General features: G+C 39.2%; 1 annotated feature.

The window, feature by feature from the left end:
- Positions 14,809–15,326: an enhancer, noted in NCBI's record as "H3K4me1 hESC enhancer chr4:104228025-104228542 (GRCh37/hg19 assembly coordinates)". NCBI's record gives its function as "activates a minimal SCP1, AML or CMV promoter by ChIP-STARR-seq in naive H9 embryonic stem cells {active_cell/tissue: H9 hESC(naive)}" and the evidence as "EXISTENCE:reporter gene assay evidence [ECO:0000049][PMID:30033119]".

The following is a 27,795-nucleotide window of genomic DNA, read 5'->3' as shown; positions in this document are numbered from 1 at the left end:
TAATATTCATGAAATAAATTTTTAAAAAACTTGGAAAAAATAGAGATAGTTAAAACACCCCATGCCAAACTACATAAAGTCTTTGGATAGAGGGAATACAGAAATCAGAAATCATCTAAAAAATAATCTTTAGTTATTTGTCCCTTGTAAAACAGTGTTTATCTTAGAAAGGGCCTTGTACCCCAACCCCACATAAGGATGATTTTAGACTTGTAAAGAGTAACAGCAAACCCTTAAATAGAACTAAGGTTCTGAAGGCAGAAAAACATATGTGCATTACTTCGATGTAGAACCTGGGAAAGGATGAGATTTATAGAGCATCCCCACTGTGAGACAAACAGGGCCATACAAGAGTGTATTTGAAATGGCTACGTGAAGCTTCTAGGAAGGCAGATTGAGGAAACCTCAAAGAATCCCCATAAGCTATGGCTTAGAAAGCAAGAACATGTGTTCTTTTACGACTGAGGACAGTTTGAACATGCCATGGAGAGCCAACTGACCTGAGGGATGCAGCCACAGGCTATGAGAAGAATTGGAGGATGATAAAGAGCACAGAAATTTTCAAAAAACCAGGGATAAAGGGGTAAAGACCATGAAATGACAGAAATCAGCCAGAATTTTCTTTCAGAAATTTTCTATTTAAACTTTTAGATTAAATTTCTTGAGATGGAAAAAATTCAATCAATAAAATCAAAAGATTTGCCAAAGAGGAGATTCACTTCCAGCATAAACAGAAGAGCTCAACAACCCGGTCCTCAAAAAACAGCTTTAAAGCTGGACAAAACTGTCACAAACAACCATTTTAGCCCACTGGAAATCCAACAAAGGCACCCAACAAACGAAGAAGTGTTTATTCCTAAAAATTACTGAATCTCAAAAATATTATGCTAAGTGAAAGGAGCCAGACACAAAGATGACATGTTATATTATTCCATATATGAAATATCCAGAAAAAGCAAATTTAAAGAGACAGAAAATAGATCAATAGTTGCCTGGGAGTAAAGAGAGTGGAACTGGGATTAATTGCCTGTGAGATCGAGGGATATTTGGGGAGTATGAGAAAAGTTTTAAAATTGGATTATGATGACAGCTACACAACTCTATACATTTACTAAAAATTGTCAAAATACAGTCATCTTTTTGTTGCACTAAATTCTAATCCTTAGCAAGCTTTTTCACAATGCATTGCCTACCATTCTGCTGCTTCTCTAATAAAGTCCCTCTTGCACCCTAGGCAAAAGCCTTCATATGATATGATATTGTTTGTTATAAAGTGTTCCTGACATTTGGTGTGCTATTTACAATAACGAGAACTTTAAAGGCATGAGATACAAGCCAAAGCATAAAGATTTCCTTGCACAGAAGTTATAAACCTAGAAGCTACAGACCAAATACAACCCAGAGACTTGATTTTTTTTTTTTGGAGGGGGGAGGCTATGTCATGCTTTATTTTTAATCATTTTAATAGGATGCATCATAAAGTCTACATTTCTGGCTGCTGTTGAATAAATGAAAGCTGTAGCAAAAATGGGCTTGCACTCTAACATGGCAATTGTCATACAGTCCACTCAGTCCTCAACACCTTCTATTACTCCTCTACTAGCAATCCCTGGCCTAGCTTTTTTAGACCCATGCTACTCCCAATCCTAATGCCAATTACTGAAGGCAGCCAAAAAGTGAAGGTATCTTTTTCTTATTTTCTTATTTCCCAGTAGTTGTTGATACCAAAACAAAAATGATTCTTAGAAAACAAAAAGCCTCATTTCAAAAGGATAGGATAAATTGTGAGAATCTACATTTCTTTCCGATGGTGATTTTGAGAGGAAAGCAACCCCAGTTTGAAGCAATTGATAGTGATCAAAAAAGGGATGCAAACCAACTAACATTTCCAGAGGACCAGCCATGTGCAAACCTTGGTGCCAAATGCTGCAAAGGGCCAAGCATAAGTCTGCAGCTAAATAAGCTCATGGTCTAGTTCCATGATTCCCAAGTCATGAGTATCAAATCCCTGAGGTATATATACCAAGCATTATCAGCCTACTAAGTCATATTAGTAACAATTAGTCAATTAAGTCATAATTAGCCAACAAAGTCATCTTATACATACATGCACAAAAAAATAAATATAGGATGATACTGTTATAACTAAAATTGAAAAGTTTTTAAATGCAGTGGTGTCATTATGTATTATATTAAGCAACAAGGACTGTAACTACAATTACATAATATATGCAACCATGAAGTTCTTTGTATTAAAAAGGGGTACTCCAAAAATATTCTATCACTGGGTATAAACTAAATTAGGGGACAATTGGGAAATATCTGTTAATTTTTAATTAGGATACATGATGTTCACTGCATGTTGTTTGTAATGATGTAATTCAATAAAAACAAGATTTAAACCTACCAGAGGATAAGAGAGGACAGTAGACTAGAGAGTTTCTCCCAGATAACAGAATCATGGTCTACCAGATAACCTAATCAAGAATTTTCACCTTTAGCTAAGGCAGTAAGTCCTTGATGTTCCTGTCCAACACTGTTCAAGCATCATTATGGGCAATGTCCACTATGCCATTTCTAATTTTCCCCTTTAATAAGTGGTTTTACTGTGATTATCTTGGTTTTTTTCTCCATTCATATAATGGGGATGGGGGGAATGTGGTGCTTGGGACAGATAGCTTGTCTTTTGGTTTATAAGCTACTGAACCACAGAAGCCATATTAGGATCCAATGAAGAGGACATTACATTAATCAGAATCTTGCACCACTACATTTAAAATTTTTTAAGTTTCAGTTATCACAACTGTATCATCCTATATTTAATTTTTTGTGCATGTATGTATGACTTTTTGGGCTAATTATAGCATAATTGATTATTAGTTGATTAATATAACTTAGTAGACTGATAATGCTTGGTATATATACCTCAGGGATTTGGTACTCATGACTTGAGAATCACGGCAGTATACCATGGCTTATGAAGTGACTAAATGAGACTAAATTAGCTGATGAAGTGAATATATGAGACCTTGGAGTTGTCTCTCTTAAAGAGAGAGAGTATTCCACATATGGCAGGAAGAATGAATATGGATGTATATTGAGTAGCAAAGGAAGTCTAGACTACCAGATGTAAATTCTTAACTTTTCTATTACTATCAAACCCAGATTTTGAAAAATTACTTTATGCAGCCTCCCTTGCAGATAGGTATCATGTGGCAGTATCCTGGGAAATGAGATATAAGCAAAAGTTGTAGGGTAGGGCTTTGTAAAAGGATCCTTAAAAGAAGTGCATATCAGGACTCATGTCAGTAAGATGGCAAAATAGGAAGCCACAAATCTCAGTCCCCAAAACAGACATAGTTAACAATATACAGTCTAAAAATCTTTAGAGAACTTCAGAAACAAGAAATTACAGTACGACAGGCAAGAGTGCAAAGCCAAAAACATCCACATAATAGCCCTTCCCCCAAGCTAGCACAGCTCAGCTCAATCAGGAGAAAGTGCCCAACTTATGGCTTGTTTCTAAAGAGGAAAAGAGAAGAGTAGAACATACATCCAATGTTTTAGCTTTCCCAGGGGCTACCTGAGGGACTGTTTTCTGTCTTGCTTAACTTGAAGCACTAGCAGGAACCAGCATAGCTTGAATGCCTTGACACCGCTGAGAGCAAGAGAGCCAGGCAGTTCTTTGCTGTGCCGGAGAACCTGCGGTACTGAAGACAGACACCAGAGGAAGCAAGAAATTACAAACTCCTGAAAACCTCTCAAAATTTTCTCCTCTGTGTCTTCAGAGAACATAATATCTCTTAATAATTTACTGCTCATGTTTAAGATCAGAAAGCATTCACAAGTTTTACATAATAAAAGAGCCGATGATTTTACAGTAAGCTTACCTGCTATTGAAAAGAATAAGGAGAAGGAGGAGGAGCAGGGGAAGGCACAGAAATCAATACCTGTCTTGGATGCCAGGCTTCACAATTGAGCTCATGGAAGAAGTGTTACCCTTGAACAAGGCAATCTGAGCATAATTTGAACTAATTTCCTCTCCACATGCCATATTTGTGGCCTCAAGTGTAGCACATGAGAAGTCCTTTAAATTGCCAAGCTTCCTTCTTACATGATATGGATTAGGTTTTTTTATATTTTATGTCCTGTAATTTCATTTTCAGTCTCATAAACGATATAGTACCAAACCAAGGCTGTTTCATATATAAAGAGACTTTTCAACACCTTAAAAGAAAGAAAAGATACATGCAAGCTCAAAGAAGACATATACCCAGAAAAGGTTTGAAAGAAAGGCCCCCAGAACCTCTAGTCAGACTGATCAGTGAAGGTCTTTCCCTGTACAAAGCCAGTCCTTAAAGATTTGCAGAGATGGCTTCCTTCTCAAACGAAAAAAAAAATTCCAGCAATCTATCAATTAATCACTAAAATAACAAGACAGACAAAGAAACAAGTAATCATGGCCCAATCAAAGGAACAAAGTACATTTCCAAAAACTGACCTGATACAGACTGAATTTTGTCCTTCCCAAACTTCGTATGTTGAAGCCCTAATACCTAGTCTGATGGTACTCAGATCCTATATCTGAGTAATTTCCTATAAAAAGGAAATTAAAGTTAAATGAGTCCAAAAGGATGGGACCCCATTCCTACAGGACTAGTGTTCTTATAAGAAGAAACACCAGAGAGTCTGTCTTTCTTTCTTTCTCCCTCTCTACCATGTAAGGACACAGCAAGAAGGTGGACATCTGCAAGCCAGGAAGAGGACCTCAATAGAAACCAAATTGGCTGGCACCTTAATATTAAATATCTCAGCCTCCAGAATGTGAGGGAATAAATTTTTGTTGTTTTAGCCACCCAGTCTGCGGCATTTAGTTATGGCATCCCAACTGCTTGGGATGCATGACTCTAAAAGAAACAGAGATGTATCAATCACCTGAAAAAGAATTCAAAATAGTCATCTTAAAGAAGCTCAATGAATTACAAGAAACACAGAGAAGCAACCAAAGGGATCACAAAAACGATGTGTGAACAAAATGACAATACGAAGAAAGAAATTGAAACAATAAGAAAGAACTAGATAGAAATTCTGGACTTGAACACAATAACTGAATTTTTAAAAAAATCATTAGCGAGGTTCAATGATAAACTAGAGAAAACAGAAAAAAAATCAGTGAATTTTAAAAGTCATTTTAAAAGAAAAGAAGAAAAGTGAGGGGAAAGCCTAAGAGTCTTATGAAACATGATAATATGAATCAACATACACATTATGGAAATTACAGAAGGAGAAAAGAAAGAGAAATGGTTAGAGCTTATTTGAAAAAATAGTCACTGAAAACTTCCCAAATATGAGGAAGGAAGTGAACATCCAAATTCAGAAAGCTCAGAAGACTCCAACTATGATGACTCCAAAGAGGACAGTACAGAGGTATGTTATAATCAAATTGTCAAAAGACAAAGAAAAAGAAAAAATCTTGAAAACAGCAAGAAAAAAGCAGCTTGAAACATACAGGGAAGGTTTCATAAGATTATCAACAGATTTCCCAGCAGAAACATTGCAAGACAGAAGGGAAGGAGATTATATATTCAAAGTACTGAGGAGAAAAAAAAAAAACTGTCAACCACAAATACTATAACCAGCAAAATTATTCTTAAAAAAAATGAAAGAGAAACAAAGACCTTCTCCAAAAAGCAAAAGTTAACAGAGGTTGGCACCACTATATCTACGTTAAAAGAAATGCTAAATGGAGTTTTTCAAGATGAAAAAAAAGAATGTGATACCAGACAGCAACATGAAAGCATATGAAAATATAGAGCTCTCTAGTAAAGGTAAATATATAGACAAATATAGCATCCTGTAATTTTGTAATGGTGGCATATAAATCACTTTAAATTCTGGTATAGAATTCAAAACATAAAAGCATTTTTAAAAATCTATATAAAACTGCATGTATTAGGGCTTTCCAGAGAAACAGAACTAGCAGGATTGATTGATTGATTGATTGATTGAATGGTTTTAGGAATCATATCACATGATTATTCAGGCTGGCAATCTGCTGTCCACAAATTGGAGAGCCAAAAAGGGTGGTGGTGTAATTTGGAGCAAGTCCAAATTCCCTTCTACTACTTAAAGACACAATAAGAAGACAGCAGTCTATGAACCTGGAAGTGGCCCATCACCAGACACAGAATCTGCCAGGCCTTGATCTCAGACTTCCCAGACTCCAAAATTGTGAGAAATATGTTTTTGTTGTTTATAAGCCACTCAATCTATGGTATTTTATTATAGTAGCCCAAATGGACTAGGACACCATGTTAATGAATACAAAAAATAAAAAGGTGTAATTTATGACATCAATGACACAAAGTGGGTGGTGGTGGGATGTGAAAGAGTACAGCTTTGTATGTAATTGAAGTTAAATTGTTATCACTTTAAAATGGATTGATATAATTAAGATGTTTTATATAATATCCATGGTAACCACAAAGAAAATATGCATGGAAGATACATAAAAGAAAATGAGAAACGTATCAAAGTATGTCACTGACAAAATCAATGAAACACAAAAGGAAGGCAGGAATGGAGTAAAAAGAGACAAAATAACTATAATATATACACAAAACAACAAAATGATCATAGTAAGTCCTGCCTTATTAGTAATTATTTAAATGTAAATGGATTAAATTCCCCAATAAAAAGACACAGAGTGGCTGGATAAATTTTTTTTAAAAAAAAGATCAAACAATATGCTGCTTACAAGAGGCTCACTTTAGATTTAAGGACACACAAAAACTGAAAGTAAAAGAGTCAAAAAATAAAGACAAGGTCTCACTCTGTCACCCAGACTCTAGTGCAGTGGTGTGATTATAGCTCACTGCAGCCTCAACCTCCTGCAAATCAAAACCACAATAAGATACCATCTCACACCAGTCAGAATGGCCATTATTATAAAGTCAAGAAACAACAGATGCTTGCGAGGCTGTGGGGAAATAGGAACACTTTTACGCTGTTGATGGGAATGTAAATTAGTTCAAACACTATGGAAGACAGTGTGACAATTCTTCAAGGATCTTGAACCAGAAATACCATTTGACCCAGCAATCCTATTACTGGGTATATATCCAAAGGAATATAAATCGTTCTACTATAAAGGTACATGCACACATATATTTAATGCAGCACTATTCACAATAGCAAAGACATGGAATCAACCCAAATGCCCATCAATGATAGACTGGATAAAGAAAATGTGGCACATATCACCATGGAATACTACGTAGCCATAAAAAGGAATGAAATAATATACTTTGCAGGAACGTGGATGAAGCTGAAAGCCATCATCCCCAGCAAACTAACACAGGAACAGAAAACCAAACACCACATGTTCTCACTCATAAGCAGGAGCTGAACAATGAGAACACATGGACACAGGGAGGGAAACAACACACACTGGGTCTTATTGGGGGTGTGGGGGGAGGGAGAGCATCAGGACAAATAGCTAATGCATGCAGGGCTTAATACCTAGTTGATAGGTTGACAGGTGCAGCAAACCACCATGGCACATGTTTACCTATGTAACAAACCTGCACGTTCTGCACATGTATCCTGGAACCTAAAATTAAATTAAATTGAATTAAATTTAAAAAATTAAAAACCCGGGCCAGGCACAGTGGCTCACGCCTGTAATCCAGCACTTTGGGAGGCTGAGGTGGGTGGATCACCTGAGATCAGGAGTTCAAGACCAGCCTGACTAACATGGTGAGACTCCATCTCTACTAAAAATACAAAAAATTAGCCAGGTGTGGTGGCAGGTGCCTGTAATCCCAGCTACTCAGGAGGCTGAGGCAGGAGAATTGCTTTAACCCAGGAGGCAGAGGTTGCAGTGAGCTGAGATTGCACCACTGGATGCCAGCTTCAGTGACAAGAGTGAAACTCCTTCAAAAAAAAAAAAAAAAAAAACCGAAGTTCCCGTGTAACACATTTGGAATGCAGAGGAATTGAGAAAATGGCAGGAGTAGAGAGCAAAACAGTGATTTGGGATTGATCAAACACACACACACACATATACTCCTATGTAAACCAAAGTACTGCAGGACCACAGTTAGAGGCTGTGCTTGGAGTATTCCCCCCACTTCCATCCTGATGGAGGCTCATACTTTTCATTTGCTTTCCATATGTAAGCTATAGGTGAAATATCTTCCTTTGGCCTCCCAAAGTGCTGGAATTACAGGTGTGACCCACCATATCTGGCAGAATTGCCATTATTTTTTAAAAAGCAGAAAATAACAAGTGTTGGTAAGAATAGGGAAGAATTGGAACTTTGTGCTTTGTTGGAGGGAACGTAAAATGATGCAGTTGCTGTGGCAAACAGTATAAAGTTTTCTAAAAACTAAAAATAGAATTACCATATGATTCGGAAATTCCATTTCTAGGTATATATTCAAAAGAATGAAGGCCACGTGTGGTGGCTCACACCTATAGTCCCAGCAGTTTGGGAGCCCAAGGCAGGTGGATCACCTAAGGTCAGGAGTTTGAGACCAGCCTGGCCAACATGGTGAAACCCCATCTCTACTAAAAATACAAAAAATTAGTTGAGCATGGTGGTGCATGCCTGTAATCTCAGCTACTTGGCAGGCCGAGGCAGGAGAATCACTTGAACCTGGGAGGCAGAGGTTGCAGTGAGCTGAAATTGTGCCACTGCACTCCAGCCTGGGTGACAAAGCAAGACTCCATCTCAAAAAACAAAAAAAAAAAAAAAGAACTGAAAGCAGGATCTTCAAGAGATATTTGCACACTCATGTTCATAGCAGCATTATTCAAAATAGCTAAGTGGGGACCTAAATGTTTATGGACAACTCTATTCAACATAGTACTGGAAGTTCTAGCAAGGGCAATCCCATCACACAATTATGTACAATAATGCACAAGAAATCATTTACCAGAGCAGGGTTTTGGAGAGTTGGAGGTTTGAGGACTTTTTTTTTTTTTTACCACTACATCCTACCAGTACCTGCATCCTTACATCTGCCTTTCTCTTGTTAACATAGATGAACGATCTGTGCTCCCTCCATCAGCGATCCTACTACTTGTGCACTAGATCCATCCTTTCCCGCTATTTAAATATAGAAATTTTCCTTTCTTTCTCTTATATCATTAATGTTTCTGTCTGTCCTGGATCATTCTTATCATCATATAAACATACTGTTATTTCTTCTACCTTAAAAACAAACTTTTTAAAAAACTTTTATGTTTGGAGGTACATGTGAAGTTTTGTTACATAGGTAAACGTGTCATGGGGGTTTGTTGTATATATTATTTTTTCACCCAGGTATTAAGCCCAGTACCCAATAGTTATCTTTTCAGTTCCTCTCCCTTCCCCCACATCCCCCCCCGCAGTTAGAACCCAGTGTCTGTTGTTTCCTTCTTTTTGTTCATAAGTTCTTATCATTTAGCTCCACTTATAAGTCAGAACATGTGGTACTGAGTTTTCTGTTCCTGTGTTAGTTTGCTAAGGATGATAGCTCCAGCTCCATCCATGTTCCTGCCAAAGACATGATCTCATTCTTTTTATGGCTGCATAATATTCCATGGTGTATATGTAGCACATTTTCTTTATCCTGTCTGTCATTGATGGGCATTTAGGCTGATTCCATGTCTTTGCTATTTTGAATAGCACTGAAATCAACATTCACGTGCTGTGTCTTCATGGTAGAATGCTTTCTATTCCTCCGAGTATATACCCAGTAATAAGGTTGCTGGGTTTTATGATAGTTTTGCTTTTAACTCTTTGAGGACTTGCCATACTGCTTTCCACAATAGTTGAATTAATTTACACTCCTATCAACAGTGTATAACTGTTCCTTTTTCTCCCCAACCTCACCAGCATCTGTTATTTTTTGACCTTTTAATATTGCCATTCTAACTGTTGTGAGATAATGTCTCATTGTGGTTTTGATTTGCATTTCTCTAATGATCAGTGATACTGTTTTTTTCATTTTTGTTGGCTATATGGATGTCTTCTTTTGAGAAGTGTCTGTTCATGTCCTTTGCCCACTTTTTAATGGGGTTGTTTGTTTTTCACTTGTAAATTTAAGTTCCTTATAAATGCTGTATATTAGACCTTTGTCAGATGCATAGTTTGCAAATATTTTCTCCCATTCTGTAGGTTGTCTGTTTACTCTGCTGATAGTTTCTCTTGTGCAGAAGTTCTTAAGTTTAATTAGATCCCATTTGTCAATTTTTGCTTTTGTTGTGATTGCTTAAAAAACAAACTCTTAAAAAAAAAAGTTCCTTTGTGCCCTTTTCTCCTTTTAGCAACTGTACACTTCTTTATATTCCTTTACAGCAAATTCCTCAGTGTTGACTAAACCCAGTGTTTCCAATTCATCTTTTCCTATGCTCTATGAAATCCACTTCCATCAAGCTATCACACCACCAAAACTGTTTGTTTCCATATGCCTCCACCAAAACTGCTTTTGTCAAGTTATAGATGACCTCCACATTATTAAGTCCAGTGGCCAATGTTCAATCCTTCTGCAACCTGACCTGTCAGCAGTATAGGTCTTAAGCCACTTTATCCTCCTGAAAACACTTTTTTCACTTGATTTTTTGAGACAGCACCTCCCCTGGCTTTCCTTTTCTCTCATTGACCAATCCTTCTCAATCTCCTTTGCTTGTTACTTCTCTTCAATCTCTTCAATTCACTCTTAAAGACTGTAATTTGCAATCTACTCATCTGACAAAGGGCTAATATCCAGAATCTACAATGAACTCAAACAAATTTACAAGAAAAAAACCAACAACCCCATCAAAAAGTGGGCAAAAGATATGAACAGACACTTCTTGAAAGAAGACATTTATGCAGCCAAAAGACACATGAAAAAATGTCATCATCACTGGCCATCAGAGAAATGCAAATCAAAACCACAATGAGATACCATCTCACACCAGTTAGAATGGCGATCATTAAAAAGTCAGGAAACTACAGGTGCTGGAGAGGATGTGGAGAAATAGGAACACTTTGACACTGTTGGTGGGACTGTAAACTAGTTCAACCATTGTGGAAGTCAGTGTGGCGATTCCTCAGGGATCTAGAACTAGAATTACCATTTGACCCAGCCATACCATTACTGGGTATATACCCAAAGGATTATAAACCATGCTGCTATAAACACACATGCACACGTATGTTTATTGCAGTACTATTCACAATAGCAAAGACTTGGAACCAACCCAAATGTCCAACAATGATAGACTGGATTAAGAAAATGTGGCACATATACACCATGGAATACTATGCAGCCATAAAAAAGGGTGAGTTCATGTCCTTTGTAGGGACATGGATGAAGCTGGAAACCATCATTCTCAGCAAACTATCGCAAGGACAAAAAAACAAACACTGCATGTTCTCACTCATAGGTGGGAATTGAACAACAAGAACACATGGTCACAGGAAGGGGAACATCACAGACCGGGGCCTGTTGTGGGGTGGGGGAAGTGGGAAGGGATAGCATTAGGAGATATACTTAATGTTAAATGACGAGTTAATGGGGGTAGCACACCAACATGGCACATGTATACATATGTAAGAAACCTGCACGTTGTGCACATGTACCCTAAAACTTGAAGTATAATAAATTAATTAATTAATTAAAATAAAATAAAACAAAATTGGAGAAGTTTCTCAACAACAACAAAAAAAAGACTGTAATTCCTAGAGCTCAGTCATTGGTCCTAATCTCTTCTCAATGTACACTTATTCTCTAGATGAGCTTACCCAGTGTCATGGCTTTAAACAAATGCCAACTTTCTATCTCTGGCCTGGGACTACTTTCAACCAATACTCACTTAGTCTATGTGGATGATGAACTGGCATCTCAAGCTGAAACTCTTGATCTTTCCCCTAAAACCTATTTGACTTGAATCATCCCAATTTCAGTCAATGTCAGCTCCATCCTTCCAGCTGCTCAGGCCAAAGAGATTAGAGTCATACTTGACTCCTCACTCTCAAACCCCACATATAACCTATCCAGAAATCTTGTTGGCTGTCATTTCAAAACACTGGCATGTTCAAAACCCAGAAACTCCACACCACCTTCATTGTTACCCCCTGATCCTGGCTGCCAGCATCTTTCTCCTGGACTTTAACAGTAGCCTTCTTGCTATTCATTCTGCTTCCACACATGCCCCGTACACTCTATTCTTAACATAAACAACCAGAATACTCCTTTAAAAAGATGTCAGAACAAGTCATTTACCTGCTCAAACCCTCCAATGCCTCCAAATTTCTCTCCAAGTAAAAAGTCTTAGACTTCATAACAAACTCCCCCAAGTTTGTCCACCAACTTCCTTTCTCATCCCTGATTTCACTCCTCTAGTTTACTTTCTACTACTTCTCCCATTCAGCCCTCTTGAGCCATATTGACCTCCTCATGGTTCCTGCTACACCATCATCTGCCACCTCAGGTATTTTGCACTGGCTGTTATCTATTCTCTTTTCCCTGATAGCCTCATAACTCATCTTCCCATTTCCTTTAAAGTTTTGCTGAAATATCACTTTATAGATGGGGTAATATCTGACCACCTCATTTAAGTTGTAATCTCCCCGACTGCCTTTGTATTCCCAGTCCCTCTTAGCTTGCTCTATTTTTCCCCATTGGATTTATCACTCCAAACATCTTATATAATTTATTACTATTTTATTATTATCTGTCTTCTCCCATTACAATGTAAGCTTCACAAAGATAAGAATTTTTGTTGGATATATTTTCTGATGTATTCACAGGACCAGAACAGTGCCTGAGATACAATAGGCACTCAACAAATAATTGCTAAGTAAATGAATGAACACTTTAAATTTATGTACAGGTTGACTTTTTACAACATGTAATATTTTTTTAATGATATGTTTTGAAAAACTCATTTTCATACTAAAATAATTAGAAGCAACTATCAGAAGGTGGTTACAGCCCCAATTCCCTGTAAAGTGGGAACTGTAATTCTTACTGTGTGCACTCTCCCAGCTAGAAAGAGCATAAGAAAAGAAATAGCTTTGTGTAATACACACTAGAAAGTTAGCTCAAAGACTGTTGTATTCTGACCTGGGAATAGGTTTACCACACCGTGGGTTTATGAGTCAAATATCTATTAAGTTTTGTGTGAATCCTGAGGCACTCTTTTATCACTTTGCCACCTTCAGCTCCTCTAAACTAATAGCAAAAAATAGCAGCAAAAGAAAATCTTTCTCTGTTTTCTCAACAGTATTTTTCTCTGAAAAATAAAATCATCTTATAGTCAATTAGAAAACAATTAGACACTTGAAGTATATCAACTTGACACCCAAAAATTCAAATTGATTTCTGTATCTCATTCAGTTTTAACATCTAAATGTATAATAGCTGGTCTTATTTTCAAAGCATGTTCTCAATCCCCAGAGTCAGCTTTCTCAAGCTCACAATTTTCATATTTTTATTGGTGACTGTATTATCTCATCCTGATCTTTATATTACCTTCACTATAAAAACTGTTACTGCCAAAATGTCAAAAAATATCTGTAAAGTTGTGATTCAAGGGAATCTGAGAAACCATTTTTCAGGTTAGTCCTCAAAAGTAAATTCAACAGTGTAAGCAAGAATCAGCCATGTAGATTCTAACACCTAACCCAAGCCCTATGCCCTAACTCCTAACCTATTCTATATAACCTGCACTGCTCAACAGGGAGCTCCAGTATCCTGCGCTGGAGATGGTGCCTGGCAGGACGTGCTGATCCCACCTTCACAGGCCTGTGCAGTGCACATGCGTGTTCTGCAACTTCCAGGGTGGAAGTGAGAAATGAGGCAAGAGGCAGGGGTCTGTGCTGCTGCTGAAGAGGAGCTTGGCTGCGAAGCTCCCCGTTTCCCATAAATAGTGAGAAAAAAACTTCATCCTCTGGAACTGTTCCAAGGCATCTTTTTTTTTTTTTTTTTTTTTTTTTAATGTGTCAGTGTTGGCAGGGGGCAGACATGGAGATAACCAGAGAACAGAGAAGATTCCGGCCAAGATAAATGACTAGGAGCAACTAGTGTGGGCCGCTCTCACAGAGAGAAGAGTGTTGAGTAAATACTAGCTCTTCAACTGGATCTTCCAGGAGGACGCACTGGGAATCATCAAGGAAGCAACACGACCTATGTAGAACAGAGAAGAGTGAGACACGACAGCCACCCACCCAGGAGTGGCGCAGAGCCATGGGAGACTCCCACTGCGAAGAAACAGTGAGCTAGTGAGAGTTCCTAGGGACCCACATTTCTGCCACGGAACTTTGCAACCCTGAAATCAAGAGATTCCCCCATGACTCTCCCCCAGCCGGGGCCTCCAGACTGAAAAAGACAGCCATGTGGAGTCTGGGCACAGTCACAGTTCAGGCACATGAGAAGTACGGGACTCTTTGATCCCTGGGCATCCCAGCACCAGCAGCTGCAGCTCCTGCAACATCGGAGGCCAGGATCCCTAGCATGCCCCCAGGATAGGGGCCGAATCCGTGGACTGAGCAGTGGATGAACAGCAGGCCTCACCTCTACTGCACCTCTCTGGACACGGCCCACTGGCCTGGGACCGTAATGCAGCCACCCCAACCACTCCTGAGCTCTCCATCGGGGAACAGCTCTGCACTTCCCTGAGACGCAGCTACCAGAGGCAGCAGACAGGCTCTCATGTTTGCTGCTACACAGTCCTCTCTCCTGTTACCCTCGGACTCCAGAGGAAAAGCAGTGATTAGAATCTAACATGGACCCTCAGCATAGTTCCGTTGCCTTACAGAAAAGCGGCCAGTCTGTTTCGATGCAGGTCCGTGCCTCAGCTGCTCCTCACCGTGGAGGGCCTCTCCACCTGGGCCCCCAGCACAACCACTCTGCCCCAGCCTGAATACTTCAGTCAGTGGCAGCTTTGCATTTCTCCAGGGAGGAAACTCCAGAGACAACCCAAAGTCCCTCTGCCATTGCAGCTTCAGTGGTACTGCCCTTGCTGCTCTCGGTCTGGGAGAGGAAGAAAGGGTGTGGTCGCTATGCTGGCACCCCAGCACATGGCAGCCATCATGCAGAAAGGAGCCCAGACTTTCTTCCCTGTGAACCGCCACCCCGGACTCTTTACCAGGCAGGGCCCCAAGCTCATGACTGCAGAGCAGCTGCCCCACCCCCAGCTGAACATTCCCACTGGCAGCGGCTCTGTTTCTCTGGGGTGGAGCTTCCAGAGGCAAACAACAGCCGCTCTGTCACTGCCACTGAAGTGATTCTGACCTTGCTGCCACCCGACTAAGAGCCTAGGAACTTTACTTGCAATTCCAGCACACCAATGTTGATACAGGAGTAGATAAAAATGATTTAGACAGATAGTGAGGGCAAATAGTCCCAGACAGAACTTCGCTTCTCACAAAAAGCAGCCCAAGAAATCACTTCTTTTCTAACAAACAGCAACTGGAAGATTGGGCTGCAAACATAGATAAGGAAGCTGGAAGCTTGCATGAGGGGATGCTGGCCGTTGCACAGATAGAAAGGGCTACAAAGGACCAGGCACGTCCACCATGGGGGTTCCACCTCCCCTTTTTAGCAGATGCACAGTAAGAAAGAAATAAGCAACATGGAATAGCTCAAGCTGAGGAACTGCCTGCATAATAAAACATTGGGGTGGGGGGCTACCAGAGATTTGTACCCTAAGTAGATAGCACACCTGGTCCTAACTGGTTTTTCATGCTCTATGCTGATCAGATACCACCTCCCCACTAGCTCGTCTATAAAAACCCCTGCATTTCACTGCAGTACAGCAACCCTTTTTCTGGGATCCCTCTCTGTAGCAGAGAGCTGTTCTCTTTCTTTTTCCTATTAAATTTCTATTCTCAACCTCATCCTTGGTGTGTCACATCCTTGATTTCCTTGGCCATGAGACCAAAAGCTCTGGGTGTCACCCCAAACAATGAGGCCACTTCACTGTTGTCATATGGAAAGGAGCCCAGTCTCTCCTCTCTGTGATCCTTCCACCCCCCCCCCCCCCCCCCGCCACTCTTCGCCAATCAGGGCCCCCCAGCTCAAGCCAGCAGTGCAGCCACTCCTGCACTGCTGAACATTTCCAGTGGCTGGACATGGAAATGGCTGAACATTTCCATTAACAGTGGCTCTGCATTTCTCTGAGATAGAGCTCCCAGAGGCAACTGAAAGTCCCTCTGCACCTGCCACTGCAGTGGTACTGCCCTTAGAATGGGGAAGGAACAAAGATCCTGAAGGCTTTACCCACAACTCCAGCAAGCTGCAGTCTCCCTAAGGAAAAGAGACCACTCTATCTCCCTTGTGAGCTCCCCACCCCCAATTCATCACCAGGCAGGGCCCCACAGCTTGGGCTCACAACACAGCTGCCCCACCCCAGGCCAGTCACACCAATTGGCAGCGGCTCTGCTTTTCTTTTGAGTGGAGCCCCAAGAAACAAATGAAAGCCCCTCTGCCTCTGCCACAGCCACTTCCAAGGCCCCTTGCCCTGCTGCCTCCAAGTTGGGGAAGGAACATAAAGCCTGAGCTCACTCCAGGGCTGTGGTATACCAAGCCAAGATCTACAGCCAGCACTGAAGGAGGAGAGGAGCCCACAACTTCAAAGCACTGAGTGGGAGCACAGCCGCAATCATGAGGAAACACAGAGGAGCCACGTGGCCAAGCAAGAGCCTAGCTATTGGCCATTATGCTTAAACACCATCTACTGGATCAAAGCCCAAAATTCAACACCAAAAATACTTTGCTAATATGCCCTCCTGTGAAACCAAGGACAAGAAGTCAGCTACAAATAAAGACCCTACACAAAGCCTTGGCCCTCTGAAAACATCCAGAAAAGAAATCAAATAAAAGTGTACTCAAATTACATCACAGTTAAAGGAACATTAGCCCACATAGTGAGAAAGAACCAGCTCAAGAACTCTGGCAACTCAAAAAGCCAGAGTATCTTAGTAAGGCTGAAATAGCTAAGATGACAGACATACAATTCACAATTTTTTGAATAGGAATGAAGATCATCAAGATTCCAGGGAAAGTTGAAGTCCGAGGAATCTAAGTATTACAATGAAATGATGCAGAAGCTGAAACAATAAATGGCCATTAAAAGAAGGAACAAAACTGATCTGATACAGCTAAAAAACATACTACAAGAATTTCATAATGCAATCACAAGTAGACCACAGCAGAATAGACCAAGCTAAGGAAAGAATCTCAAAGCTCAAGACTGGTTATCCAAACTAATTCAGTGAGAAAGAAATAAAGAAAAAAGTATAAAACAGAATGAACAAAACCTCCGAGAAATATGAAATTATGTAAAGAGACCAAATCTATGATTCATTGGTATCCTTGAAATACAGGGAGAGAAAACAAGCAACTTGGAAGACATATTTGTGGATAATGTTCACAAAAGTTTCCCCAGCCTTGCTAGAGAGGCCAACATTCAAATTCAGGAGATGCAGAAAACTCCTACAAGATCCTATACAAGATAACTATCCCCAAGACACATAGTCTTCAGATTCTCCAAGGTCAATGTGCAAGAAAACATAGTAAAGGCAACTAGAGAGAAGGGGCAGGTCACCTACAAAAGGAACCTCATCAGGTTAACATGAGCCTTTCAGTAGGAAACCTACAAGGCAGAAGAGATTCAGGGCCTATATTCAGCATTCTTAAAGAAAAGAATACCAACAACAATCAAAAAAGATAAAGAAGGCCATTACATAATGGTAAAGTATTCAATTCAACAAGAAGATCAACCATACTAAATGTATATGCATTCAAGACTGGGGCACTCAGATCCAAAAACCAAGTTCTTAGAGAACTATGAAGACACCTAGATAACCACATAATAGTAGTGAGAGACTTCAACACCCCACTGACTGTAGTAGACAGATCATTGAGGCAGAAAACTAACAAAGATATGATATGCACGACCCAACTCAACACAACCAAATGGGCCTAAAGACATCTACAGAACACTCCAGCCAAAAGCAACAGAATACACATCATTCTCATTTGCACATGGTACATACTCTAAAATTGACCACACAATTGGCCATGAAACAATCCTCAGCAAACTTTTAAAAAATTGAAATTATACCAAACACACTCTTAGACCACAGTGCAATAAAAATATAAATACTTTAAAATCATTTAAAACTATACAGTTATGTGGAAAGTAAAGAACCTGCTCCTGAACAACTTTTGGGTAAACAGTGAAATTAAGGCAGAAATCAAGAAATTTTTTGAAACTAATAACAAAGATACCACATACCAGAATCTCTGGGATACATCTAAAGCAGTATTAAGAAGGAATTTATAACACTATATGTCCACATCAAAAACTTAGAAAGATATCAAATTAACAACCTAGTAGCACACCTAAAGGAACTAGAGAAACAAGAAAAACCGACTTCACAGCTAGCAGAAGACAAGAAATAACCAAAATCAGAACTGAACTAAAGGAAATTGAGATGCAAAAAAAAAACATACAAAAGATCTAATGTAGGACGTGGTTCTTTCTAAGGATAAATAAGATTAACACCATTAGCTAGAATAATAAAGAAAAAAAGGAGAGAAAATCCAAATAAACACAATTGGAAATGACAAAGGGGACATTACCACTGACCACAAGAAATAGAAAAACCCACAGAGAATAATCCAAACACCTCTATGTACACAGAATAGAAAACCTAGAAGAAATGGATAAGTTCCTGAAAACATACAACCTCTCAAGTTTAAAACAAGAAGAAATTGAAACCCTGAACAGTGGCATTTCCTGAAGGATTTCCCTGCTTGCTCCTGCTAGCCCTGCCTTTTTTCTTTCCCTAGGTATACTTCCAACAAATTTCTTACACTTTTAACTTTGTCTTAGCATCTGCTACCTGGAGTACCTGGACTGATGCAGCCACAGTCAAAAAATGCTAAAGTTATGATTCACCAAAGGTTATCTGACCCCAGAGATCTGCATATGTAAACAATGCTTCCTTTCCCAGGTGTAAATTCTGGATTACTTCCTGCCCCCATTCCTGGCCTTACAGTCAAAAGTCTTAACATGTCTCTAAGGTACTGGGAGCTGGAACTTCAATATAACTTTAGGGAGGACACAATTCAGCTCATAACAACACCCAAAGAAGAGGCTTCTTTCACCTGGATTTAAGGGTGGTCCTAGTAGTTACTGTGTGACCTGGAGAATTTCAGATAATACATGATCAACTTGCATCACTGGCCTCATGTGAGACTGCCAAATACACTATACATGGAGAGTCACCCCCACATAGTATCCTTAAACTTCCACAAAATAATGAAACCATAGGAAGTTGAGAGTTTGGGTGGGTAGAAGAAGTTTCATGAATCATCTAAACCCAACCTGAGTATTCAGAGTAAGCATTTCTACCCCTAAGCACTAATGCCTGCCCTTAGGAAAATACAAATTGCAGCCAACTTAGAAGAGCCCTCTATATGATCATGTTCAATACATGTGTGTCGTTTGGTTTAATTATAGAAAATGTGATGTACGTAAAGTAAACTTGCAACTGAATCGTTAAAAACAGCTAATCATAAAACTGTAGTATTAACCAAGATCTTAAAATACTGTTTGCTATACAATCACCCTCTAATATCCTCCTTGAATTCCCAGAGAGACTCTAATTGTTTTGTTTTTTTGTTTTGTTTTTTGAGACGGAGTCTCCCTCTGTATGCCAGGCTGGAATGCAGTGGCATGATCTCAGCTCACTGCAACCTCCACTTCCCAGGTTCAAGTGATTCTCCTGCCTCAGCCTCCTGAGTAGCTGGGACTACAGGTGTGCGCCACCACACCCGGCTAATTTTTGTATTTTTAGTAGAGAAGGGGTTTCACTGTATTAGGCAGGATGGTCTCGATCTCCTGACCTCATGATCCGCCCACCTCGGCCTCCCAAAGTGCTAGGATTACAGGTGTGAGCCACCACACCTAGCCAAGAGAGACTCTAATTTAAATTTTCTTTAACCTACCATCTTATGAAAGCCCATCTGAAAATCATAGAATATAATTTTCTACCCCAAATATGAACTCTCAGTGGCCTCATTTCTACCTTCTTTCTTCCCACCTCACTTCCCAAAAAGGAGACAGAATTCTCTTCTAATATTTTATTCTCATTATTAAGAAATTTTTCTCAAAATTTATTTCAATCCTTTATGTGCAGTTCAATATCAGTTTGTTTTGTCTCTCTTCAGCAAAAAGTGAACAATAAATATACGCCATTCTTCACCTAAAAGATTTTCTTATAGTTAAAACATTATTAAATTGTCTATAGTTGGATAAGAAAAATGTACCTTATAACAATTGTATATATCACAAGGCAGAATCCTTAAGGAGTACCAAGTTCTGTTTAGCAACTGTGTTTTAGTATCTTGAATTAAAGCACACCTCTACTGGCTTAAAATATCAAGGAATTACTCACAAAAATCAACTAATCAGATCAAAGATCCATACTTAGAACAGACATACACCACAGCAACACAAATGAAAGAGCATAATAAAAACTTTATATGCACACATTTTTCCCGTGTGCTAAATACCTTAGGTGTTCTAGTGAACAGTCTTTATAAATAAGACTTGGAATTTTGTTGTGTTGAACAGAGAGGAGAACAACAGAGTCAAAAGCTGAGGGGTAAAGTTTTAAAAGAAGTAGCTAATACTGTGATGAGTAAGAGATTCTGTGGTGAGATTATCAAATCAAACTGATATTGGGCAAATAGACTCAGGAGAACACCTGTCTGTGAATTCTTGCTATTATCTCTACAGTTCTGGGCACTTCTGGCAATTATTGTTTCATTCCTAACCCATAAAAAAATGTGGTAGTATAATGAAAAGTTATCTAAATACATTTAAAAGCTGCAAAAATACTTAAAAAGCAAAGTAAACTCTACAAGAATAGCTGAACACCATGGAAACCTCAGAAGGCAGGTTAGAAGCAGTCCTCTTCTCTGGGCTTTCAGCACCCGAGACCAGACCTTCCAATTAAAAGAGGTTATTTTAGTCAGGTTTTGGTTTTTGGTTTTAATTTTGGCTTGGTTTATTGTGTTTTTTATTTGTTTGTTCGTTAATTTGTTTGTTTCTGGGGAAAGGGTAATAAACAATATAGTCAGAACAAAACGAAGAAGCAAGAAGCCCACTACTAGGGACCACGACAAATTTTATCGCTAATACTAAAAGGATTTTCAAGCATAATGAAGGACAAATATCAGTATTTAAGACATTGTAGTGAATAAAGGAGTTGGCAGAAGACTGAAGATTAGCAGACACATGTTTCATTTTTCAAATATATATTCTAGAAACTACAGACTTTCAAATCATATTTCAATCACTGGCAAAAATTTTGAACAAATCATTAACAGAGTGCATGAACATTTATAAGTACTAACCACTAGCAGCCAACCTTGCATTATAAAGAATAAATTATGCAAAAACCTAATATCATTTTCTCTTTCTTGAGATGGAGTCTCGCTGTGTCACCCAGGCTGAAGTGCAGTGGCATAATCTTGGCTCACTGCAACCTCCGCCTCCTGAGTTCAAGTCATTTTCCTGCCTCAGCCTCCTGAGTAGCTGGGATTACAGGCATGGGCCACCATGCCCAGCTAATTTTTGCATTTTTAGCAGAGATGGGGTTTCACCATGTTGGCCAGGCTGGTCTCGAACTCCTGACCTCAGATGAGCCACCTGTCTCGGTCTCCCAAAGTGCTGGGATTACAAGCATGAGCCACCACGTCCAGCCCTAATATTGTTTTCTGATAGCCAGGTTGACATAAAGATTATATTTGGGTTGTAGCAAAGCATTTGAAGTTTTTAATGATGTAGTTATTAATTAGAGAAATATGATCTGGATAATTTACAACTGAGTGAATTAATGCCTACCTGAAATGAGAGTGTTGCTTAATGTATCAAATTTAATCATAAGAAATTGTTATGTTAATGTTTTCACCAATATTTTGCATGAAAAAAATTTACTCTATGCCTTAAAAAGTGCAGATGAATAGAACTTGGAGAAATCATTCAGATGTTTGAGAGAAAAATCAAGATCCAATATGTAATTGCCTATACTAATAAACCCAAGTTAGAAAGGCAAACATTTTTTAAGGAAAACCTTGAACACTATCTGTAGACCCCAAAATACCACAATGCCAAATTGAGAAACAAGCTTTATGCAGTTTTTTTTCCAGTTCTGCTGAGATCTGCCCCCACAACCTCAGGGCAACATCAACTTCCTAATAACCCAGGGAGGTAAAAAGAAAGAGCTGCACACCAAAAATCTTGTCCACCATGATCAAGTAGGCTTCATCCCCAGGATGCAAGATTGGTTCAATATACACAAATCAATAAATGTGTTTCATCACATAACAGCCAACTAAAGACAGAAACCACATGATGATCTCAATAGATGCAGAAAAGGCTTCCAAGAAAATTCAACATCCCTTCATGTTAAAAATGCTCGATAAACTAGGTATTGAAGGAACGTACGTCAAAATAATAAGAGCCATCTATGACAAACTCACAGCCACCAACATACTGAATGGGCAAAAGCTGGAAGTATTCCCCTTGAAAACCAGCACAAGATAAGGATGCCATCTCTCACCACTCCTGTTCAACACAATATTGCAAGTTCTTGCCAGGGCAATCGGGCAAGAGAAAGAAATAAAGGACATTCAAATAAGAAGAAAGGAAGTCAAACTATCCCTGTTTGCAGATGACATGACCCTATATGTAGAAAACCCCATTGTCTCAGCTCGAAAGCTTCTTAAGCTGATAAGCAACTTCAGCAAAGTCTCAGCATACAAAATCAGTGGGCAAAAGTTGCTAGTATTCCTATACACCAACAACAGTCAAGCCGAGAGCCAAATTATGTATGAACTCCCATTCACAATTGCCACAAAAGAATAAAATACCTAGGATCATATCTAAACAAGGGAAGTGAAATATCTTTACAGGGAGAACTACAAACCACTGCTCAAAGAAATGAGAGAGGACACAAACAAATAGAAAAACATTGCATGCTCATGGATAGGAAGAATCGTGAAAATGGCCCTATTGCCCAAATCAATTTACAGATTCAATGCAATTCCTACAAAACTACCAATGACATTCTTCAAAGAACTAGAGAAAACTATTTTAAAATTCATATGGAACCAAAAAAGAGCCTCAATGGCCACAGCAATCATAAGCAAAAATAACAAAGCTGGAGGCATCACACTACCCGATTTCAAACTCCACTATAGGGCTACAGTGACCAAAACAGCATGGTATTGGTACAAAAACAGACACATAGACCAATGGAACAGAATAGAGAACCCAGAAATAAGACCACAAACCTACAACTATCTGATCTTTGACAAACTTGACAAAAACAAGCAATGGGGAAAGGATTCCCTATTTAATAAATGGTGCTGTGATCACTGGCTAGCAATATGCAGAAGATTGGAACTGGACCCCTTCTTTATACTGTATACAAAAATTAACTCAAGTGGATTAAACAATTAAATGTAAAACCCAAAAACTATAAAAACCCTGGAGGACAACCTAGGCAATACCATTAAGGACATAGGCACATGCAAAGATTTCATGATGAAGACACAAAAAGCTATTGCAATGAAAGCAAAAATTGACAAATGGGATCTAATTAAACTAAAGAGCTTCTGCACAGCAAGACACTATCAACAGAATAAACAGACAACCTACAGAATGGGAAAAAAATTTTGCAAACTATGCATCTGACAAAGGTCTAATATCCAACATCTATAAGGAACTTAAATAAATTTACAAGAAAAAAATAATCAACCCGATAAAGGGGCAAAGGACATGAACATATACTTCTCAAAAGAGGACATACATGCAGCCAATAATCCTATGGAAAAAAGCTCAACATCACTGATCATCAGAGAAATGCAAATCAAAACCACAATGAGACACCATCTCACGCCAGTCAGAATAGCTATTATTAAAACAAAAAAATAACAGAAGCCAGCGAGGTTGTAGAGAAAAAGGAACACTTATACACTGTCAGTAGGAGTGTAAATTAGTTCAACTATTGTGCAAGACAGTGTGGCGATTCCTCAAAGATCTAAAGACAGAAATACCATTTGACCAGCAATACCATTACTGGGCATACACCCAGAGGAATATAAATCATTCTATTATAAAGACACACTGCAGCACTATTCACAATAGCAAAGACATGGAATCAACCTAAATGCCCATCAATGATAGACTGGATAAAGAAAATGTGGTGCGAGGCTGGGCACGGTGGCTCACACCTGTAATCCCAGCACTTTGGGAGGCCGAGGCAGGCGGATCACGAGGTCAGAAGATCAAGACCATCCTGGCTAACACGGTGAAACCCCGTCTCTACTAAAAATATAAAAAATTAGCCAGGCATGGTGGCAGGCACCTGTAGTCTCAGCTTCTTGGGAGGCTGAGGCAGGAGAATGGCATGAACCCAGGAGGCGGAGCTTGCAGTGAGATGAGATTGTGTGCCACTGCACTCCAGCTTGGGTGACAGAGTGAGACTCCATCTCAAAAAAACAAAAGGAAAAGAAAAAGAAAATGTGGTGCATATACACCATGGAATACCATGCAGCCATAAAAAAGAATGAGATTATGTCCTTTACAGGGACATAGATGGAGTTGGAGGCCATTAACCTTAGCAAACTAATGCAGGAACATAAAACCAAATAGCTCATGTTCTCACTTATAAGTGGGAGCTAAATGATGAGAATACGTAGACACATAAAGGGGAACAACACACACTGGATGGAGGGTGGGAGGAGGGAGAGGATCAGGGAAAATAACTAATGGGTACTAGGCTTAATACCTCTGTGACAAAATAATCTGTACAACAAACCCCCATGGCACATGTTTACCTATGTAACAAACCTGCATATGTACCCCTGAACTTAAAAGTTTTTTTTTTTGTTTTTTGGTTTTTGGGTTTTTCTTTTTCCTATTTTATTTTATTTTTATTTTTATTTTTGTTATACTTACAAGTTCTAGGGCACACGTGCACAATGTGCAGGTTTGATACATAGGTATACATGTGCCATGTTTGTTCGCTACATCCATTAACTCGTCATTTACATTAGATATTTCTCCTAGTGCCATCCCTCCCCCTGTGCCCCACCCCATGACAGGCCCCGGTCTGTGATGTTCCCCACCCTGTGTCCAAGTGTTCTCATTGTTCATTTCCCACCTATGAGTGAAAACATGTGGTGTTTATTTTCTGTCCTTGTGATAGTTTGCTCAGAATGATGGTCTCCAGCTGCATCCATGTCCCTGCAAAGGACATGAACTCATCCTTTTTTATGGCTGCATAGTATTCCATGGTCTATATGTGCCACATTTTCTTAATCCAGTCTATCATTGATGGACATTTTGGTTGGTTCCAAGTTTTTGCTATTGTGAATAGTGCCGCAATAAACATACATTTGCATGTGTCTTTATAGTAGCATGGTTTATAATCCTTTGGGTATATACCCAGTAATGGGATGGCTGGGTCAAATGGTATTTCTAGTTCTAGATCCTTGAGGAATCGCCACACTGTCTTCCACAATGGTTGAACTAGTTTACAGTCCCACCAACAGTGTAAAAGCATTCCTATTTCTCCACATCCCCTCCAGCATCTGTTGTTTCCTGGCTTTTTAATGGTCGCCATTCTAACTGGTGTGAGATGGTATCTCATTGTGGTTTTGATTTGCATTTCTCTGATGGCCAGTGATGATGAGCATTTTTTGCTGTGTCTGTTGGCTGCGTAAATGTCTTCTTTCGAGAAGTGTCTGTTCATATCCTTTGCCCACTTTTTGATGGGGTTATTTGTTTTTTTCTTGTAAATTTGTTTAAGTTCTTTGTAGATTGTAGATATTAGCCCTTTGTTAGATGGGTAGATTGCAAAAATGTTCCCCATTCTGTAAGCTGCCTGTTCACTCTGATGGTAGTTTCTTTTGCTGTGCAGAAGCTCTTTAGTTTAATTAGATCCCATTTGTCAATTTTGGCTTTTGTTGCCATTGCTTTTGGTGTTTTAGTCATGAAGTCCTTGCCCACCATGCCTATGTCCTGAATGGTATTGCCTAGGTTTTCTTCTAGGGTTTTTATGGTTTTAGGGCTAACATTTAAGTCTTTAATCCATCTTGAATTAATTTTTGTACAAGGTGTAAGGAAGGGATCCAGTTTCAGCTTTCTACATATGGCTAGCCAGTTTTCCCAGCACCATTTATTAAATAGGGAATCCTTTCCCCATTGCTTAAAACAAAAGTTTTTAAAATAATTTCTAAAAGTTAGTTCAATTTTTAAAAAAGAAAGGGCCTGTCATCCCAGCACATTGTAGCTCAGAGGACTTGCAGAAGGCTGAACAGATTGTACAGTTGACCCTAAAATATTGAGAATCTCATACTCTAAAATCATGTACTTTCTTCTGTATGGTACACATCTTAGGCTGAATGTTGCTTATTTATAACTACTTTTTCCCACTGAATGCTACTCTTTAGAGTTATTTAAAAACTCTAAAGTTGACTTGAATCTTAATTTTCTAAAAACAAAACAAACCCCAAGATCAGGGAGAATTAAGCAGAACACCATAGTAGGCATGACATTTGCTTTGGAATTGGGCAACGTTCTGGGAGAGGATTCTGGGTCTACCACTTAATTTGGTGTGCAATCTTGGGCACATTGCTTAATTCCTCTGTGCTCCAGTTCTTATATCACTAAAGAGTAGTTTCTAATAGTGTCTACTTCATAGAGTTGCTGTGAAGAATAAATATGATAGTGGATGATAATGGATATAAAGTGGATAGCACATTATCTGGCTGAAAAAACAGTAGCTCATATTAATAGGTCGTTTATTTGGCCCTTACCAACATGCATGTGGAAAACCTGAGGCAAATTAGGCTGTTCATACTGAGGAGACAGCAACAAGCAACTTTGCTTAACCCTAGAGCAAGGAGCCTGGGATAAAGAGTAATGAGGAAAACGGAGTTAGACTTCAGAATGGAACAGATGAGAATAGTCTAAAAGAAACTGCTAAAGCAGGAAGTAGGTAAACAGCAAGAGACTTCACAACAAGGGAACAATCATCCCAGTAACATTTCAAGTTTATAATTCTTGCTGCTCCATGTCTTAGAGATTGCATAGAAGGAGGATGTCATGAATCTTGCTAAAAATGCTGTCAGTAGCATCCAGGCAGAGACTGGATTATCTTAGCAAGAGTGAAAACACAAGGCAAGGATCTGTTATATTTGCGTAGGCATCAATCTTCTCCCTGCTACCCTGTGGCTGGCAACTTCAAAAAAACAAAAAACAACAACTTTTAGTGGGAAAAAAGGGTACAAGGCATTGTGCTAGGCATTTGGGAGAATGCAAAAAATAAGCCAGACACCAATTTGGCCTTAGGAGCCAAAAAATTAATAATTAACAGAGAGGTTTTTCTGTACAATGAATTCAAAGCAGTATCTTGCTGTGTTCAATAAGTATGAGAAATACAGTTGCTGTAGATGTTCAAAGGGTAACAAAGCTCCTCTGTCTGGGCTTATGAGAAAGCCTTCTTGGAGGAAATGGTATTCAGCGGGGCTGAAATGAGTAGCCTCCGGATACCTGATATAAGATAGCCTATATTTGAATAACGCTTAAATCCCTCAAAATACAGAAAAACAACGTGGCAGTAGCTTGATATCTTTTGTTTGTCCGCTAGTTCCTACCTGATACTAGCCCTAGGGCACTGCATTGTGTCTTACAGCTTTCACTAAACCCTACCTATGCCTTCATAAATTGTCA

This window comes from Homo sapiens, chromosome 4 (assembly GCF_000001405.40).
Source record: "Homo sapiens chromosome 4, GRCh38.p14 Primary Assembly".
Lineage (NCBI taxonomy): Eukaryota > Metazoa > Chordata > Mammalia > Primates > Hominidae > Homo > Homo sapiens.
Note: the sequence above shows the minus strand (reverse complement) of the source record. Positions and strands in the feature narration are given on the sequence as shown.